Below are 16,767 nucleotides of genomic sequence, written 5' to 3'. Positions count from 1 at the left end.
TTAAAGCCCCAGTCAACATCCCCGTCTCCTGGGCCTGGTCCTGTCACCCGAGCTTTGGGACTGCTAGCCTGCCCTTCTCTGTCCTGCCAAGCAGCTGCTCACATTGGTTCCACTGTGCCAGGAGCTCAGAGAGAAGAAACCAAACTCCTGGGCAAGAACACATTTGCATAGAGCTGGCCCTATTTGCTGGAGGGGGCATCACTGGCAGGGCCCTCCACAAGGCAATTTCAGCCAGCCCCTCGCCTCAGTCCAGGTGCCCCTGAACCTAGCCTGGCTGACAAGGAAGAAGACTACCACTCCCTCACCTGATTCACTCATCCTGCAGGTCCTAGACTTTACCTGTTATCTAACCTCAGTTCCTTATTTATCACTGAGCTGAACTGAGGCAGGAGAAAAAAAGTTTTCCCAGGCACCAGGACACAAAAGCATAGACAAGATTCTAGCTTTTGGCTTGGCACGGTGGCTCGAACCTATAATCCCAGCACTTTGGGAGGCTGAGGTACACGGATCGCTTGAACCCAGGAGATGGAGACCAGCCTGGGCAACATGGCGAAACCCTGTCTCTACAAAAAATACAAAATTAGATGGGTGTAGTGGTATGTGCATGTGGTCCCAGCCACCTTGGAGGTTGAGGTGGGAGGATCACCTGAGCCTGGGAGCTCAAGGCTGCAGTGAGCCGTGATTGCGCCACTGCACTCCAGCCTGGACAACAGAGTGAGACCTTGTCTCAAAAAAAAAAAAAAAAAAAAAAAAAAAAAAGGAACCGTGGTGCAAAATAGGAAAAGAGCTTAAAAAGAGCCTACTGTGGCCTGTCACTTGGAGAACAGGGAACAGGTGATACTTTTGGGAGAAAATAAAAGGTTCCCTTCCTCCAGCAGACACAGCTCTGAGCTGGGTGCAGGAATTGGCAAGCTGAATGCAGTTCAGTCCTCAACTTGCCCCATCAGCAGGTGCCTTTGTGGCAGCCCTGAGATCAGCCAAACTGGGGAGGCTTCCCTGGACAAGATCATGAGACATCTTGTGCAAAATCTGGCAAGTGGAAGAGGAAGCATGATGGGGAAGACAGCAGACAGTTGAGGATATGAGTTTAGTGGAGCAGGGAGGCCAATCTGGTTGATTGCAAAAATTTGTATAAATTCAAGGGGGATGGGGCTCTAGAAAACTCAGAGCAGAGGAAAGATATGGTTGAAGGAGTAGATGTGGCAAATGACTGAAGCTGAAGATTAGAGTGAAATGGGGAGAAGCAGAGCACAGCTCCAGGCCAGACGGAGGCAATTTCAGCCAGCCCCTTGCCTCAGGCTGGGTTCCTGAGGCTGAGGAGCTTGCTGCCTTTCTGGCTACTTTCAGCAGAGCAGGAGGATCAGAAGCCTTCACACAGAGTTCTATCTTGCTTTATAGGACTGGGTAGAGATAGGCTAAGATTTAAAAGTTATATGACGGTTAGAGGTGGTACAGGATTAGCCCTTACTTTACAGGTAGGAATAGGTCCCAAGAACATAGTCAGGACTAAGACTCAGGCCACCCGACTCGAGATTCCTCGTGTTTCTTTATTCCCAGTTGCCTCCCTCCTATCACAGTGCATTGGATGTTAATGGAATTTCTATCAATTGGACCCAACTGGAAAGGTACTAGAAGTCCCTAGTTAGAGAAATTTGTTTTTTTCTTTTTTCCTTTTTTTTTATTCCTTTTTGAGACAGAGTTCCGCTCTGTTGCCCAGGCTGGAGTGCAGTGGCGCGATCTCCGCTCACTGCAACCCCCACCGCCCGGATTCAAGTGATTCTCTTGCCTCGCCCTCCTGAGTAGCTGAGATTACAGGCACACACCACTATGCCTGGCTAATTTTTTTTTTTTTTTTGTATTTTCAGTAGAGATGGGGTTTCACCATGTTGGCCAGGCTGGTCTTGAACTCCTGACCTTAGGTGATCCACCCACCTTGGCTTCCCAAAGTGCTGGGATTACAGGCATGAGCCACCGTGCCTGGCCATGTTTTTCTTTTTTAAAGGAAAGAATTCTTTAGTAGGTAACTAACTATTCCCTAAATTATGTCTTATAAATGTGGGTTTGTGTATATTGCATTTATTTAAAGGGGGTGATCTACTTACATAATGATTCGTTAGTGACTAGGGGAATGTAGCTCAGTCCTTCTCTTGGATTTCTCCTCTGCGGCCTGAGTCATTCAGCTATGAGATGCTCCACTACTAATGGAATTTGTTCAGCACTGTGGGATGTGAGCACCAAAACGCCACTTGGAATCCTGAATCCTGTGGTGAGCCATGCCAGTGTCTCTGTTCTTTCTAGCCACTTCCCCTGACTTGTTAAATACTAACTATTCTGAGTCTCTATCATGCCTCCCAACCCAAAGCTTTCCTGATTCCCTCTGTCCACATCTGCTTTGCCCAGCGCAAGCCCCTCAGACTGCTGCCCACTTGTGGATTCTTTCTAAAACAGGTGACACACCCCAACTCTCCTCCTCCTCTGCTCTGAGGTAGCCTCTGCCCCATTATAAATGAAGTAAAAGTAGAGATGAGGCCAAAGCTGGAAGCAGTGAGTCTGAAAGGAGAAATGGAGGAGAATAAGGAAGACGCAAGTTGGGAAACTGAAAGAAGAGAGAGGGGTCCTCAAAAAGAGAAGTTTCCTCTGTCATGTTTCATGGTGGACATTGGATGTTGTAATTCTGGGGAATTTTTCATACCAACATGTACTCAGGGGTCATAGCCTCTGGTTGGCAAGATTGTGTTTAAAACGTGCAAATTCCCTCTGGCATTATTCTGAGACAAGCTTTGGGGTCAAATATATGTGGATTCAAATCTCAAAACACTTTCCAGCTATGTTACCATAGGCAAACCACTTAACTCCTCAGAACTTCAGTTTCCCCATCTTCTGATCTATCTGATGTAGTAAACACTCACAAATATTAGTGTCCTATGCCCCTTATTACTGATTCCCTACTGGGCTCCTAGAGACTGTCCTAGGACTTCTCTTTTGCAAACAAATTTAAAAATGAAAACCTGACATTTGATATGTACAAAAGAATATAGATGGTGGACATATGTCTATATGTTATAAAGCATAATTTAAGAACAAAAACTCAATTTAAATCACTCTTTTAAATTCAGAACATTACAGTGCTGTTGAAGCTACCTGTGTACTTTTCCACAAGCTCCCACCCCTGCTGTTCAAGGACTTATAAAGTCTTTCTAACTGCCCAGTCCCACCCGACTCTATCCTCACTCTGATTGTTAGTAGAGGACACTTCTGTAGATCACTTGTAGTTTTTTAGTCTGATTGACCAGAAGTAACATAGAATTAAGGAAGTCATGAGCACTTCCAGCCTCAGAGAGAAAGATGCCGAGTTCAGTCTGAGGGCCTGTCACGTTTTTTATCTTCTTTTTTTTTTTTCTAGGTCTTCTGTGGTGAAGACCTCCTTCACTGTGACCTGTAAGCACGAGGCAACTGTTTGGGGTTTTAAAACAAGGGCACAGGGACCGACATGATGAAAACAGGTTGCCTCTTCCTTTGAGACTGGAGAGAAAGGTGAAGGATGGGTCAGGTCCTGATCTTTCTGATTCTGATAGTGGTCATAGGAATGAAAAAGCACATTGCAAACAGATGAAAGAAAGGGAGACTTGACAGCATTTGTTGGCTTATTTGACATGTCCAGGAATGGGCCCAAGGCAACGGTGAAGAGTAAAGGTCACTTGTAGTTTTTTATTCTAATTGACCAGGAGTAACACAGAACTAAGGAAGTCACGAGCACTTCCACCTTTGGGGAGGAAGGTACTGAGTTCAGTTTGGGGCCTGTCAAGTCAAGATGGAAATCCCCTGCAAGCAACTAGAAATATGGAGCTCCAAAAAGAGTGTAGGATTGAAGATAGAGATTTGGGCATCACTCAGGGACAATCGTTGGAGCTATGTAAATGACAAAGGCTCAAGGGGCAAGACACAGAAAGAGAACATAAGGCTGAACCTTGAGTGTTAAAAGAAGTAGCTGTAGCTTTGGGTGTATAGGGGCAGTGGAAGAAGATAAGGCTGGAATGGCACCAGGTCCAGGTTATAATAGGCCTTCTCTTCCAGGGAAAGGAACTCGGACTTTACTTATAGATAGTTGGCAGTTACTGAAGGTTTTAAAACTTGGAAGTGGTACGGTCAGATGTGTGTTTCAGAGAGATGTACTTTACTGGTGCTTAATTACTTTCAAATAAAGAAATTCATAATCCAAAGAATTATTAGAGTGGAGGAAGACTGGAGGCAGGGAGAGTAGTTAGAAGGCTGCTGCAGTAGCCCTGGTGTATTAGGCCATTCTTGCATTGCTATAATGAAATACCTGAGATAGGCCATGGTGGCTCAAGCCTGTAATCCAGCATTTTGGGAGGCTGAGGTGGGAGGACTGCTTGAGCTCACAAGTTCAAGACCATCCTGATCTACATAGCGATTCTTCGTCTCTACTGAAAGTTAAAAAAAAAAAAAAATAGCTGGGTGTAATGGTGAACACCTGTAGTTCCAGCTACGTTTGAGGTTGAGGCAGGAAGACTACTTCAGCACAGGAGTTCAGGGTTGCAGTGAGCTGTGATCACACCACTGCACTCCAGCCTAGGGGACAGAGTGAAACCCTGTCTCAAAAAAAAAAAAAAGATTAAAAATTAAAAAAAAAAAAACCCAGAGAGTGGGTAATTTATAAAGAAAAAAGGTTTAATTGGCACACAGTTCTGCAGGATTTACAGGAAGCATGGTGCTGACATCTGCTCAGCTTCTCAGGAGACCTCAGGAAGCTTTTACTTGTGGTGGAAGGCAAAGCAGGAGCAGGCACATCACATGGCAAAAGCAGGAGCAAGAGAGAGTTGATGATGGGGGATGTTGCCATATACTTTTAAACACCCAGATCTCACGAGAACTCACTATCATGAAGATAGCACCAAGCCGCTGAGGGACCTGCCCCCATGATCAAAACACCTCCCACCAGGCCCATGTCCAGCATTGGCATTAAAATCCAGCATGAAATTTGAGCAGGATCAAAGATCCAAACTATTATTACCTGGTGAGAGGTAATGGTGTCCTAGACTACAGCAATGATAGTGGAATAGAGAGGAAGGGGACAATATTGAGGCTATTTAGAATACAGATGCATTGATTCAATAAGGGAGATGAGGTGAGGAAGATTGAAGAATCTAGGATGGCTGCCATGTTTCTGGTTGGGTGATGATAGTGTATCTACCATGGTAGAGAATAAATGGAGAGGAGCACTCTTGTGAGCAAGGTGACATGTTCGACTTTAAATATGTTGAGTTTGAAATGGATATCCGGGTGGGCTGGACATATTGACACATGGGTGGTAGTTGAAGCTAAATGGATGGATAACATTTTTGGAAAAATAATAAGTGCACAATAAATGTCTGTTAATGATCCATAAATCATTACAGTCCCTTTGCTTTCTCTTCTGTGGTGTTCTTCATGTTTATTTTGGAGTTCCACCAGAGCCTCCAAGCTAAGCTTGTCCAACCCACCGCCTGTGGGCTGCATGCAGCCCAGGACAGCTTTGAATGAGGCCCAACACAAATTTGTAAACTTTCTTAAAACATCATGAGGGTTTTTTTTGTGATTTTTTTTTTTTAAAGCTCATCAGCTACTGTTAGTGTTAGTGTATTTTATGTGTGGCCCAAGACAATTCTTCTTCTTCCAATGTGGCCCAGGGAAACCAAAAAATTGGACACCCCTGCCTAAGTCCTCTCTGTCTGTGAATGTCAAGACTGTGGCCCCCTTAAGGATCTTTTGGATGTCCTATTTTTTGAAACTTAAAGGTCTTATACCAGTCTTGCAGGCTGGCCCTCAGACCACCTCACCACAGCCCCTCATCCATATTGACTTAGGAAGAGAGGGCATTCGGAGTGTGAAGAAGAAAAACTGGAAGACTGTTTCTTTTTCTTTTTATTTTGTGTTTTGTTTTGTTTTGTTTTTGGAGACAGAGTCTAGCTCTGTCCCCCAGGCTGGAGTGCAGTGGCGTGATCTCGGCTCACTGCAACCTCTGCCTCCCAGGTTCAAGCGATTCACATGCCTCAGTCTCCCAAGTAGCTGGGATTACAGGCGCGTGCCACCAGGCCCGGCTAATTTTTGTATTTTTAGTAGAGATGGGTTTTTGCCATGTTGGCCAGGCTGGTCTCAAACTCCTGACCTCAGGTGATCCACCCACCTTGGCCTCCCAAAGTGCTGGGATTACAGGCATGAGCCACCTGGCCTGGCCTGTTTCTAGTACATTGTCTGGTTTCTATTTCTCTCCTCTCTATGAGTAGAGTTCTCAAAAGTGTAACCTATACTTGCTGACAGTTTCTCACTTTCTAGTGGTAACTTGTAATCTGGTTCCCACCTTGCTCACTCTTCTGAAATTGCTCTCAAATGTCACTAGAGACTTTGTCACTGCCAAACCCAATGCCTCTTCTCTCTGTACTTGTTGGCACTGTTAGAACCTCCTCCTTAACAGTCTCTCCTTCCTTAGCTCCATGACATCTCACTTTCTTTGTCTCCTTCCTGCCTGTCTGGTGGATTCTCTTTCACTCTTTGGGGGTCCTTCTTCTTCCCATCCCCTAAACATAGGTGTTCCTCACTCTCTGTGCCAGGCTCTCATTTCTCTGTGCAGTCTTTGTTGGGATCTACCCTGTTCTCATAGCTTCAACTCACACTGCCCTGGCAGCAATGACCTCCTTTCTCTCTCTGGTTCTGACCCCTCTCCACAGCTTCCAGCTCTGAACTCATCACTTCCTCTTCCCCCACCTCAGTCTCCTCACCAGGTGTGATCCCCCCCAGGCTCCCCTATGCCCGTGAATGACCTCGCAGTTCTGATCACCTGACTTGAGACTCTAGTATGATCTCTGAAGCTTCCCTCTTTTGCTCAACATGTCAAGTTGGCTTCAAACTTTTTTCATTTTCTTTTGATTTTTCTGTACTCCAATTCATTTTCTGTGTTCCACTTTTCACCATTGCCACGCTGATTTGGGCTGTCATCTCTTCATGCTTATATTATTGCAATTATTTTCTATCGTCTACTTGCCTACTATATCCACTTGGTTCAAACTATTTTGTCACCTCCCGATTAATTTTCCTAAAATGCCATAGCTTTCTCCTACTCCATCCTTCCCAAGAACCTTCAATTGCTCTCCGTAGCCTACAGAAACTCTGGCCTGACCACAAATCAGCACAACTCTGTGTTTCTTCCGGATGTTCCCCTTAACACAAACACTGCCTATGGTGCCTAACCTTTAGTCCCGTCCTTCCAGCTTCTCCAATGAGGCTATTTGAATGGACATTTACTTATCTTATGGCTTTTAGTGGTTAAACTAAGCTACATTCCTAGTTTCTTTCCTTTTTTTACCTGAATTTATAGCAATTCAATATGGTAACACTGGTTATTGATTAGCAGTTAAATGTTTATGATGATCAGAAATGAGGAAATAATTATATTCTTTTTAAATAAATGCTGGGGGTGGGGGTGAATTAAAACCTCTCAACACATAGATTCAGAAAATTAAAGAAATCTTTGGTGATGAAAGGGTTGAGAACCATCACCCTGCACTCTAATCTAGTAAATGGGACAGTTTGATGCTGTTTCCCAAGTGAACTTGTATTTTCACGTCTCCCCAGGACTCTGCTACGTTGTTCCCTCTGCCTTAAATGCAACAGAGTCCTGGGGACCATCTCTCAGCACCTGAATCTTCTGCTTCCTTTGGGACCCTAATCAGATGTTACCTCTTTCCTCCCACATCTGCTAGGAGCCCTCTGAGTAGAATGACCTCTCCCTTTTACAGCCTTCAGTACCTCCCGCACTTCGCTGAGGGTTCCGGCCTTATCTTTCCTTACAGAGAAAGCCGCTGCAGGTGGGCACCGTGTGCTGCGCGTCTCTCACCCAGCACCGCACCGGGGACTTAGGAGACGGTGAACAACACGGGAATTGTGCCCAAAGATACAGTCCTGTGGCTCAGGGAGCCCAGGCCTACTCCGCCCCAATCTCACTTCCAGGCGCCGCCTTCGGCGCTGCCTGCAGGGCCACTGGGCCGGTCCTGAATTCATTTCCACTTCGTTAACTCGGTCCCAGTCCCGCCCCCCGGCTCCAGCTCTCGTAACCCATCGCTGACAGGACCGCCTCCCTTTTCTTCCTTCTCCCTTCCCCTGTCACCCTGCCAGCTCAGCTCCTATCGTTTCGCATATCGTCTCTTCATCTCTCTTTCTCCCCGGGTCTGTCTGGGTCTCTGTCTTTGGATATTTCTCTCTGCGCCTGCAGCTGTCTGGGTCTCCGCTTCCTTGCCCCGCACGCCCCGCCCCCTGCCCAAGACCCTCCAATCTCGGCGGCTCGAGCCTGGCGCTCCACTCTCCCATTGGTCTGTTCGGAGCCCCCCGCCCCCGCCTGCCCGGCCCCCCTCCGGGCCCCTCCATTCACACAAAGTTTGGCTCCGGCGCTGCGGAGGGAGGGGGCGGCCCGGCCCGGCCCAGCTCTGCCCCCGGCCGGCCCGACCCCGGCCCCGGCCCCCGGACAAGCCCTTATCTGATCCCAGCTCCGGGTTTAAGAGTCCTGGCCCGGCCCGTCGCACAGCTCTGCTCCTAACTCCTGCCCGCCCCGTCCGTCCATCTGTCCCGCTGCCCCGCGGCCCATCCAAGGGGCCACTCCACCTCGGACCCAAGGTAAGACCCTGGCCCTGATGAAGGAGTTCTGCCGCCCCGGCCGGGTCCTGTCCCCCTAACTCTCCAGAGACATCGGGGTCCCAGATCCTCAGTCCCTACCCTGCCTGGCCTCAGCGGTACCACCGTCTTGTTCCCCTGCCTCCCGCCTTGGGCAGTCCCAAATGGAGCCTCCTGGGAAGGGCTCCCCACGAGGAAACTAGCCAGGCTGGTCACCTCAGCCCTTTCATCTAAGGAAGGGGCTTTCCCGATGCCCCCTCCCACTGGGCAGACCAGCAGTTGCATCCCTGCTCCTCTAGTTAATACAGTGACAACCACACATAACCAGGCACCCCATACACAGGCACAACAGACAGTGCGCCCTCCTCCCCATATGGACAGGTTACTCCCATCCCCAGCCCCTCCCCCACTCCCCATACAGTGACAATCACATAGTGACACCCATGATCGCTAGTTCCCACATGGGGAGAAAAACAGATACTGGCAGCTTAAACCGGGGAGCCACCAAAGCCTGGTGTGCTCCAGACCCCTGCCCACCCAATCTCTTCCTTCTATTCTGAGTGGCTCCCATTTTAAGACATCCCTCCTCATGGCCCCTCACCCTCACCCCAGCTGTTTCGCACTGGGATTTCCAGAAGGAAAGGAGCAGGGCCACTTCTGCTAGAGTGAGAAGGGCAGATTGGGTTCTATAAACTCACCCTCCAGATGGAGACGCCCCTTCCCATTCCATTCCTCCTCTCATCAGAACTAACCCAGGGCACCTGTGTTAGGGAACAGATGAAGGATGGAACTTCCTGATTTGGGGGAGGAGAGCTGAACCCAGGAATGGGTAGAAGGACAACACTGGGAAAAAGTGAGGGTGGGTTCTGGTGTCTTGAAGTTTAATTCCAGTGAGTGCCCCAGGCAGGGTGAGGCAGATGGGGAAGAAGCTGGTGCAGATTTGGACCCCAAAGAGGCCAGTGCTTAAAGCCTGCTTCTGTTGCTTACCAATACAAATTCTGACTAAAGATGTCTGGCCAGTCTGCTCTTGCTGTGGTGTTTGAATTTTTTTTCTCCCCACTGGGACTGCTTTAGGCTGCCTGGGTGGGAGGGAGATAATGACAGGAGATTTAGGGCCCCCATGTGAGAGATGGCCTTGTTTAAGGGTGCTGAGGAGGGCCTGGAGTGGTTGTCATGAAATTAGCCCCAGGAGGGGTGGGCAGCCACCAGTGAGTTCAATTTAGTTTCATCCTGAAACTCTCTCCCTAATCTCCAAGGATTTTTGAACATATTCCTGGCATGATGGTGGGTACCATCCTGTGCCAAGTGGTAGGGCTTGTAAATTTCTCTGGGGGTAGACTGGGTATAGGGGACCAAGTTTGGAAGGAACCAGGCATCCTGACTCATAGCTGGTTCTTCAGGGAGGAAGAAACGAGGGAGGAGGGGGATGGAAGGCATCATGCCAGGGAGAGGGTCCAGGGCTGGATTGTGGAGGCAATAGGCACGGCCCAGGCAGTGCCAACTCCTTTCCCCGCTGCCTTCCCCCAGTCCTTTGGTGGTGGTGGCAAGGGAGGAAGGGAGGGAGAGGGTGTTGGGGGGTGATCTGGGCTGGTCCAGCCTCCCAAAGCCCTTGCCAACCTGGGTCCTGAAAGGAGCTGCTGTTTTCTGAGCCATCCCCCCACCCCCCACTCAGAGCCTGAGCAGCCAAGTTGTCTCAGCGGATATCAAATGGCAATGACTCCACCGATGGAGGGTGGGTGGGGAGTGGGAGTGGCAGGGGTAGCAGGGTTATGGTTCCAGCCCCTCTGTGGCTCTAATGCAGAACCCCTCTGCTATCCCTTACCCTGAGGAAAAAATAAATCCATCTTCCCCAACATCTGACCCACATCCAGTCTATGGGTGCATATGTTTGTGTGAGGGGATTAATGATCTGCCCGCTGGTATCCCCTACCTCCTCCGTGTGCCCCATTGAACCACATTCTAGCTCCCTCCCACCTGCATCACTGTGCATAAGCTCATTTACAGCTCCAGCTTGGTTGGCTTGAGCTACAAGGAAGTGACTGGCAGAGGACCCGGGGACCTTCCTTCCCTTGACCTTCCTTGGGACCAGAGAGGCTGGGACACTTGGATCACGGTGGGCTCAGATGAAGTCCTCTGGAGTCATTCTGTGATTGGCAGGATAGGGGGTTTAAAGCTCTAGGGGGTGGGTCATGCAGAAAGATCTGTTTCCTCAAAGGATACTCCTGAGCCTCCTGGTAAAACTCTTGGTTTCTGCACACAAGATGGAAAGATAGGCCGAGCCTCCTGGCATTGGTGGGGAGGAAAAGAGACATTGGGCAATGGAGTCCCTAAGCTTTCCAGCCACAGGTTATTTAGGACGGAAGAAAAAAACCTCCACTCTCCCTCCCCTCCTCGGCCTAGATTCTTCTCTTGCCTGACTGGTCAGTGCTACTGTCCAGGCTGAGGCCAAGCTGTCCAGGATAGCAGTGGGGCCCTGGAAGGGGGCAGAGAAGGAATCAGCCAAGGCACATCGTTGAGATGAAACTACAGAAAGATTGGAGAGGAAAGGGAGATTTAAAATCTAAGTGTTTTAGCACCCAATGGTGGGTGGTTGGCTGGGCAGCTCCTGGGAATGGGAGTTTGCCATGTCACTTCGGTCTCTCCAGCAGGCTGAGTTCAATGCTTTTCTTCCCTCATTTGAGTTTAGCCTACATGTTTGCCACCATTCTTTAGGGAGAGAGTGCATCTGGTGGCCCCTCTTCCTCCCCTCCCCCATCAGAACCTTGAAAGGGCAAAGAGAAAGGGATTGTGGGAAATGCCCTCCCGTGGGTGTTTGCCAGCTTGGAGCCTGGATTTGAGGTGGTGGGGGAAGGGAGGGGCTGGCTCTGGAATGTGAGAGAGAAGTAAGAACAGAACTTTGTGGCATGGAGAAGGAGGTTGGAGAAGCAGGAGCTAGAAGAGGACTGAATCAGACCTCAAGCCTCCAACAAGGTGCAGCACAGAAAGGGTATACATGGCCATTGTGCAACTTTTCCGATGGCACAACACCTGGGGAAAGGATTGTGGCTGCAGCTAGAAGGACTTAGGTTAGATCTCAGGAAGCACATCCTAGAAAAGGAAAGACATTTGAAATGGAGACTGGGAAGGAAAGAGAGACCACTTTCTGGACCAAAAAAACCAACCAAAACAAAACAAAAACCACCAACAAAATCCCCAAACACAGAAGCCCATCCTTAAAGCTTCCGAGAGGAGTGATGGAGCTCAGAGTGCAGGGATTATTGTGACAACTGTCAGGGGCCTCCCCTGGGTGGCTGCTGCACCTCTCTCTTGCTGTTCCAGGGCTACTTTCCGCTCTGAGAGACAGCAGGCACTATGGTTAAGAGCATGGCCTTGGAGTCTGACTTTGTGGGATTCGGTCCTGGTTTACCACTTAGTAGCTAAGGAAGTCCCATCCTCACAATAGGGCTCATAACTGCTGTGAGGATGCACAGTGACTACCGTAAGGGGCTTGGAATGGTCCTTAGTCTGTAAAAAGTGGAGTTGTGGGCCATTGCTTTTCTCCCACCACTCTAATGTTTTCTACTGTGTCATCTTTCCTTGTTCCTGGGCTTTGTCCCAGCCCTTCTTTGTGGGTTTTGCTTTGTTTTGTTTTGAGATTCTGTCCTAGGTTTTTTCTTCCCACCCTTCTGGAGTTTGGGAAGGTAGAAGAATTATCAAGCAGTTTAAGATGCATTTCCTTCCTTGATTCCAATAGGCTGGGCATCACTTGAGGTGGGGTCTCCACACCCACAGCCCCTGCTTTCCACAAGTTTTTGCCAAGCAGATGTCCTGTCTTCAGATTCAATAAATGAGAACTGAGTGGTTGAGCTTTCACCAAATAGTCTCTTTCCCCATTCTCAGCAACTTCTCTTTCAGCCAAAGACTTCTGTCAGAGACTTCTTCTGTCGGTCAAGACAACCCCCACATCTCATTCCTGCTCCCATGGTCCTGCCTATCGCTCTTGTATTCTTCATCCTGCCTCTCCCTCTCCCGGCCCAGGTTTGCCCCCACAACTTCTCTCAGGTTTATATGCCCTTCTCTTCTTGTGTCTCCTGATTGGCTTGTTCATCCCATCAGCCTGGATGCCCACAGCAGCCTCCTTAATGACCTCCCTGACTCCAGCCCCCTCTCTCCTCGACTCCTTCCCTGTTACCCTATAATGAAATTATCACTGGAATTGTCATCATGAAGCATCAGTTTTATCTTGCCCTTTCTCTACCCAGACACATCTGTTGGCATTGGATAAAAATTTCCCAATCACAGGCTTCAAGAGACTTTATGCCTTTCTCCCATCCCCTCCAGCCCCATATCTTGTGGAACTGCACTCTTCAGACCCTGATCCTGGGGAGCATATCCCAGGCAGTCTCTGAGCCATGCTCCTCCCCACACTCTGGACCCTCACAAAGGCCATTCCAAGTCTCACCCCTCCCGCAGATCTCTATTCTCCTGTTTCCCTCTCTGCTCTGCCATCTTGCTTGTTACTTGCATCTGCAACTTGGCCCAGGGTTCTCCATGCATGGCGATGTTGGAGGAGACTTGTCTCCCTCATTAGCCGGGGGTTTCCTCTAGGGTGAGGCCTGTACCTCCGTCAGATTGGCAAAGGCATCTCTTCTCTCTCTGGACCCTCTGGCACCCAGCAAAGGGCCTGCCTCCTAAGACACAGAGTAGCTACTGTCCAGTTTGACTCTAGGTAGGAAACATTTCTGATCGCTTATTCTTGGGGAAGGAGCCTGACTTTGGAGGTTTATGTGAGCATCCTGCAGCAGGGTGTGTATAGGATCCTATTATCTAATTCTATAGGAGATCTCAAGAGAAACCCCTCTCCTACTAACGACCCCATCCTGTAGACATGGCTTCACCCTAAGATTACAAGCCCTAGAACCCCCAATTTATAGTCTTCTAAGCATTGTTGCTCCACCCACCCCCCCAACACAAATGCAGGTATGTAGGCCCCAGAGAGCCTTTCTCCCCTCACCAGGGCAGTCTGACTCCAGCCTGAGGCCGGGCTTGTCAGCAGCATCGTCTGGAATGAAAAAGGGGGATAAAGGTCAGAGTCTAGTCTGAGGCAGCCCCATTGTCCTGAGCATACCTCTGAGCAGGGGCTTGCAAGGTGGCAGACATGTGAGGTCACCTCCCAAGTGGGGTATAGGTCTGACCTCTTAGCACTGCATTCTCCCTGGACCAGCCTCCTCAGCTCCACTTCTGATCCCAGTTCCAACTGGTAGAGCCAGGCACACTCCTTCTCCACGTGTCTAAACCTCCCGGTTGACCCTGTGATAAAAAAGATATAGGCAACTGGTAAGAGGAGAGGGTGAGTGTATTAGAGTCTAGAGCACTGGTTTTTAAACTTTTTGACCTCAGGACCACTTTACATTCTAAAAAGTTACTGAAGACTCCAAAGAGCTTTGGTTTGTGTGGGTTCTATCTATGAACATTTACTGTGTTAGAAATGAACACTGGGACACATGAAATAATTATTAATTTTTGCATGTTAACAAAATGACGTATTTTTAATGAAAAACAGCTGTATTAAAGTAAACAAAAAGTTAATAAGAAGAGTGACATTGTCTTATATTTTCACAAGTCTTTTTAAACATCTGGCTTAATCAAAGACAGTTGCTTTCTCATCTGCTTCTGCATTTAGTGTGTTGCAATATCATAGGTCATGTACCTTCTGGAAAACTCTACTGAACACTGTGAAATAATGAAAGTGAAAAGGGCAAATAATGTATTGTTAGCATTATTATGAAGATAGGTTTGACTTTGTAGAGCCTCCGAAAGGGTCTCAGGAACCCTCCGAAAGGGTCCAGGGACCATACTTTGAGAACTGCTAGTCTAGAGGAACCTTAGAAGACAGTTTCAAAAACCTGGGCCAATTTGAATATCCTCGTTGATTTCCTTCAGCTGCCATGGTCTTTTGAATGTTCTCACCAGGGAGGTAGTATGGGGTAGTGGTTCATCATGTTAAGTTCTGCCTCTGTTCTACTACTCACTAGCTATGTGGCCATGGGCAAATTATTAATATCTCTGTGCTTCAGTTTTCTCATCTATAAAATGGGACTTTAAAAAGCACCCACCTTTAGAGTTGTTGAGAATTAAATGACATAATAGGAAAGGGCTCAGCGTAGAGCTCAATGATGTGAGCTCTCATTAAATTCCGGAGCCTTGCCCCTGAATCCACTGCGCATTGTCCCGAAGGCAGGGAGCTGCAGAGGAGATCCATCCAATGCTACACATAGGAGCTCGGCCCAGAGAGGGAAAGTGACCTGTGCAAGTTCCCAGAGAGAGTTGACAGGGTTGTTGGGCCCCGAACCCAGGAGTTCTAAGGCCTAGCTCCATCTCTGCTCTCCCCGCCAGAATTTTTTTGTGGAGAGTGGAGGAGCAAGGTCCTAAGACGGGGAAAGAAGCAGACTTTACCTTTCTTTTCCCCAGCAATCTCAGGTGAGCCCAGGGCCAGGGCAGTACAGTGGGAAGCCTTGAGGGCAGACAGCAGGGAGAACTTCCGATACTGACAGCAACTGAAAAGAGGAGAAAGAAAGCTAGGAAGACATTTTCAAGCCCAGAGATTGTTCTGTCTTGCCGTGTGGGGAGCAGTTCTGCAAAGTGTCCCCGGCCTTCTCTTCCTGGGGCTCGTAGGAAGTCTGTGATTGGGCAACCCTGCTTCTCATGAGGTGCTCAGTCCCGCTCACTGCCCTCCTCTCAGCTCTCCCACCACCCAAGGCCCAGGAGCCCCTCCCCAGATCATGCCTTCTGGCCCTGCCCTTTGTGCTGAGGCACCACAAGGCACAACATGGTGCCTTGGAAAAGCCAGTTGGTGGTGCTGAGGGCATTAATGAGGATAGGGGTGCCTGCTGGGGTTCCCTGGGCAGGAGAAGGGAAGCTTCTCCTCACAGATTGTAGAACAGGAGGAGGCAGATGGGGAGTTAGACATATACTGGGAAGAGCTAGTCCTGGCTCATTGGCCCTTCAGTCAAATTCCCCTGAGCTGGGCTTCCAGCTCCACCTTCACTAGTTCAGGTTGAATTCCCTGGAAGAGCACAGGTGGCAGGCGACTCTTGTCCCTAACCCCTGCTTCCCCTGTAGTAGCTTCTTCAGCCTCCAGAACCAGAGCAGGTGGAGATCTCAAAGAAGGTGGCACCCCAAGGAAGTAGAACCCCAAAGACCCCAAACCCTGAGCACATGCCCTTCCTGCTGGGGTTGGGGAACTTGCTATGTATTACTCTGTTTTTCTTCTCCTGCCCACAAAATTCCTTTGCATAGATGGTAAAACTGAGGCAAAACGTGGGAGGACTTAGACTGCCCACCCACTTCTTTCTAGAGCCCAGCCTGGGACCAAGGGGCTTGGCATCCCGCAGCCCCTCCCGCTCCACTCCTACCAGTCCCCGTGGCTTTTTCCATTTGGAAAGTCCTTTCTGGCGAGTGGCAGGTTTGGAGGCCCTAGTCTAGTCTCCTCCCCTGTCTCCTGGGCAGTGCCCCCAGGGGAGCCCCTGTGGGCCAAGATCTCCTTAGTCTCAGTCCTGGGCCCCCCTCACCCTCTACCAGCAGTCCCCCAGCTCCCGCCCCTCGGCTGTGGGACAGGGAGAGGGCTGAGGGGCTGGCTCTGCATACTAATGTCCTGCCCATTGTCAAAGCCCCTTTGTGCCAGGGAGCTCCATTGAGGCGGCTCCGGGGCAGGCACAATGGGGGCTCTGTCCCCTAGTTCCCCCAAACAGTCACCTGCTTTCAGAGCCTTCCCCACCACCCCCCCTTCGCCCCAGTGTCCGGAGGGCCCAGAGAGCACGGGGGAGTGGGCCCTGGGCCAGGGGGGATGGGCAGGAGGTGACTCCCCCACTCTCTGGGCAGGCTGGGGAGATGGGCATTTGACAGGGCAGGCTGCAGAGGGCACACAGAGGGGAGAGGCCCTAGGCTCACAGGGGCAGGGGCAGTCTGTGGAGGAGTTGGAATGCAGGTTCTCTGAGGCCTGAGAAGGGGAAGGGGCACTCAGAGCCTGCCCACTTCTCGGTTCCGTATGCCCAGCCTGGACCTGTGGCTGCCACCTCTCCTCCTCCCACTACAGGACTCCCCGGGGCTCATATATGCAGAGACACA

The 16,767-nt window shown here is 49.6% G+C and overlaps 1 protein-coding gene across 1 annotated transcript in view, besides 4 other annotated features; it reads left to right on the top strand.

The window, feature by feature from the left end:
* Positions 6,438 to 6,797: an enhancer, noted in NCBI's record as "active region_1912". NCBI's record gives its function as "activates an Ori minimal core promoter by ATAC-STARR-seq in GM12878 lymphoblastoid cells {active_cell/tissue: GM12878}" and the evidence as "EXISTENCE:reporter gene assay evidence [ECO:0000049][PMID:35858748]".
* Positions 8,335 to 8,564: a silencer, noted in NCBI's record as "silent region_1457". NCBI's record gives its function as "represses an Ori minimal core promoter by ATAC-STARR-seq in GM12878 lymphoblastoid cells {active_cell/tissue: GM12878}" and the evidence as "EXISTENCE:reporter gene assay evidence [ECO:0000049][PMID:35858748]".
* KCNJ10 (potassium inwardly rectifying channel subfamily J member 10) overlaps positions 8,526 to 16,767 on the top strand; it is a 32,694-nt gene continuing 24,452 nt past the window's right edge. The window contains exon 1 of the mRNA NM_002241.5: positions 8,526 to 8,664. The gene's annotated coding sequence lies outside the window, so the exon portion shown is untranslated. The remainder of the gene's footprint in view (positions 8,665 to 16,767) is intronic.
* Positions 8,975 to 9,144: an enhancer, noted in NCBI's record as "experimental_419 CRE fragment used in MPRA reporter constructs". NCBI's record gives its function as "activates a minimal promoter by MPRAs in K562 erythroleukemia cells, with activity observed for both the introgressed and non-introgressed 1:160039417 or rs946420 variant alleles {active_cell/tissue: K562}" and the evidence as "EXISTENCE:reporter gene assay evidence [ECO:0000049][PMID:34662402]".
* Position 9,059: a transcriptional cis regulatory region, noted in NCBI's record as "Neanderthal adaptively introgressed variant 1:160039417 (GRCh37/hg19 assembly coordinates) or rs946420 in the experimental_419 CRE". NCBI's record gives its function as "modulates activity of the experimental_419 enhancer by MPRAs in K562 erythroleukemia cells {active_cell/tissue: K562}" and the evidence as "EXISTENCE:reporter gene assay evidence [ECO:0000049][PMID:34662402]".

This window comes from Homo sapiens, chromosome 1 (genome assembly GCF_000001405.40).
Source record: "Homo sapiens chromosome 1, GRCh38.p14 Primary Assembly".
Taxonomy (NCBI): domain Eukaryota; kingdom Metazoa; phylum Chordata; class Mammalia; order Primates; family Hominidae; genus Homo; species Homo sapiens.
Note: the sequence above shows the minus strand (reverse complement) of the source record. Positions and strands in the feature narration are given on the sequence as shown.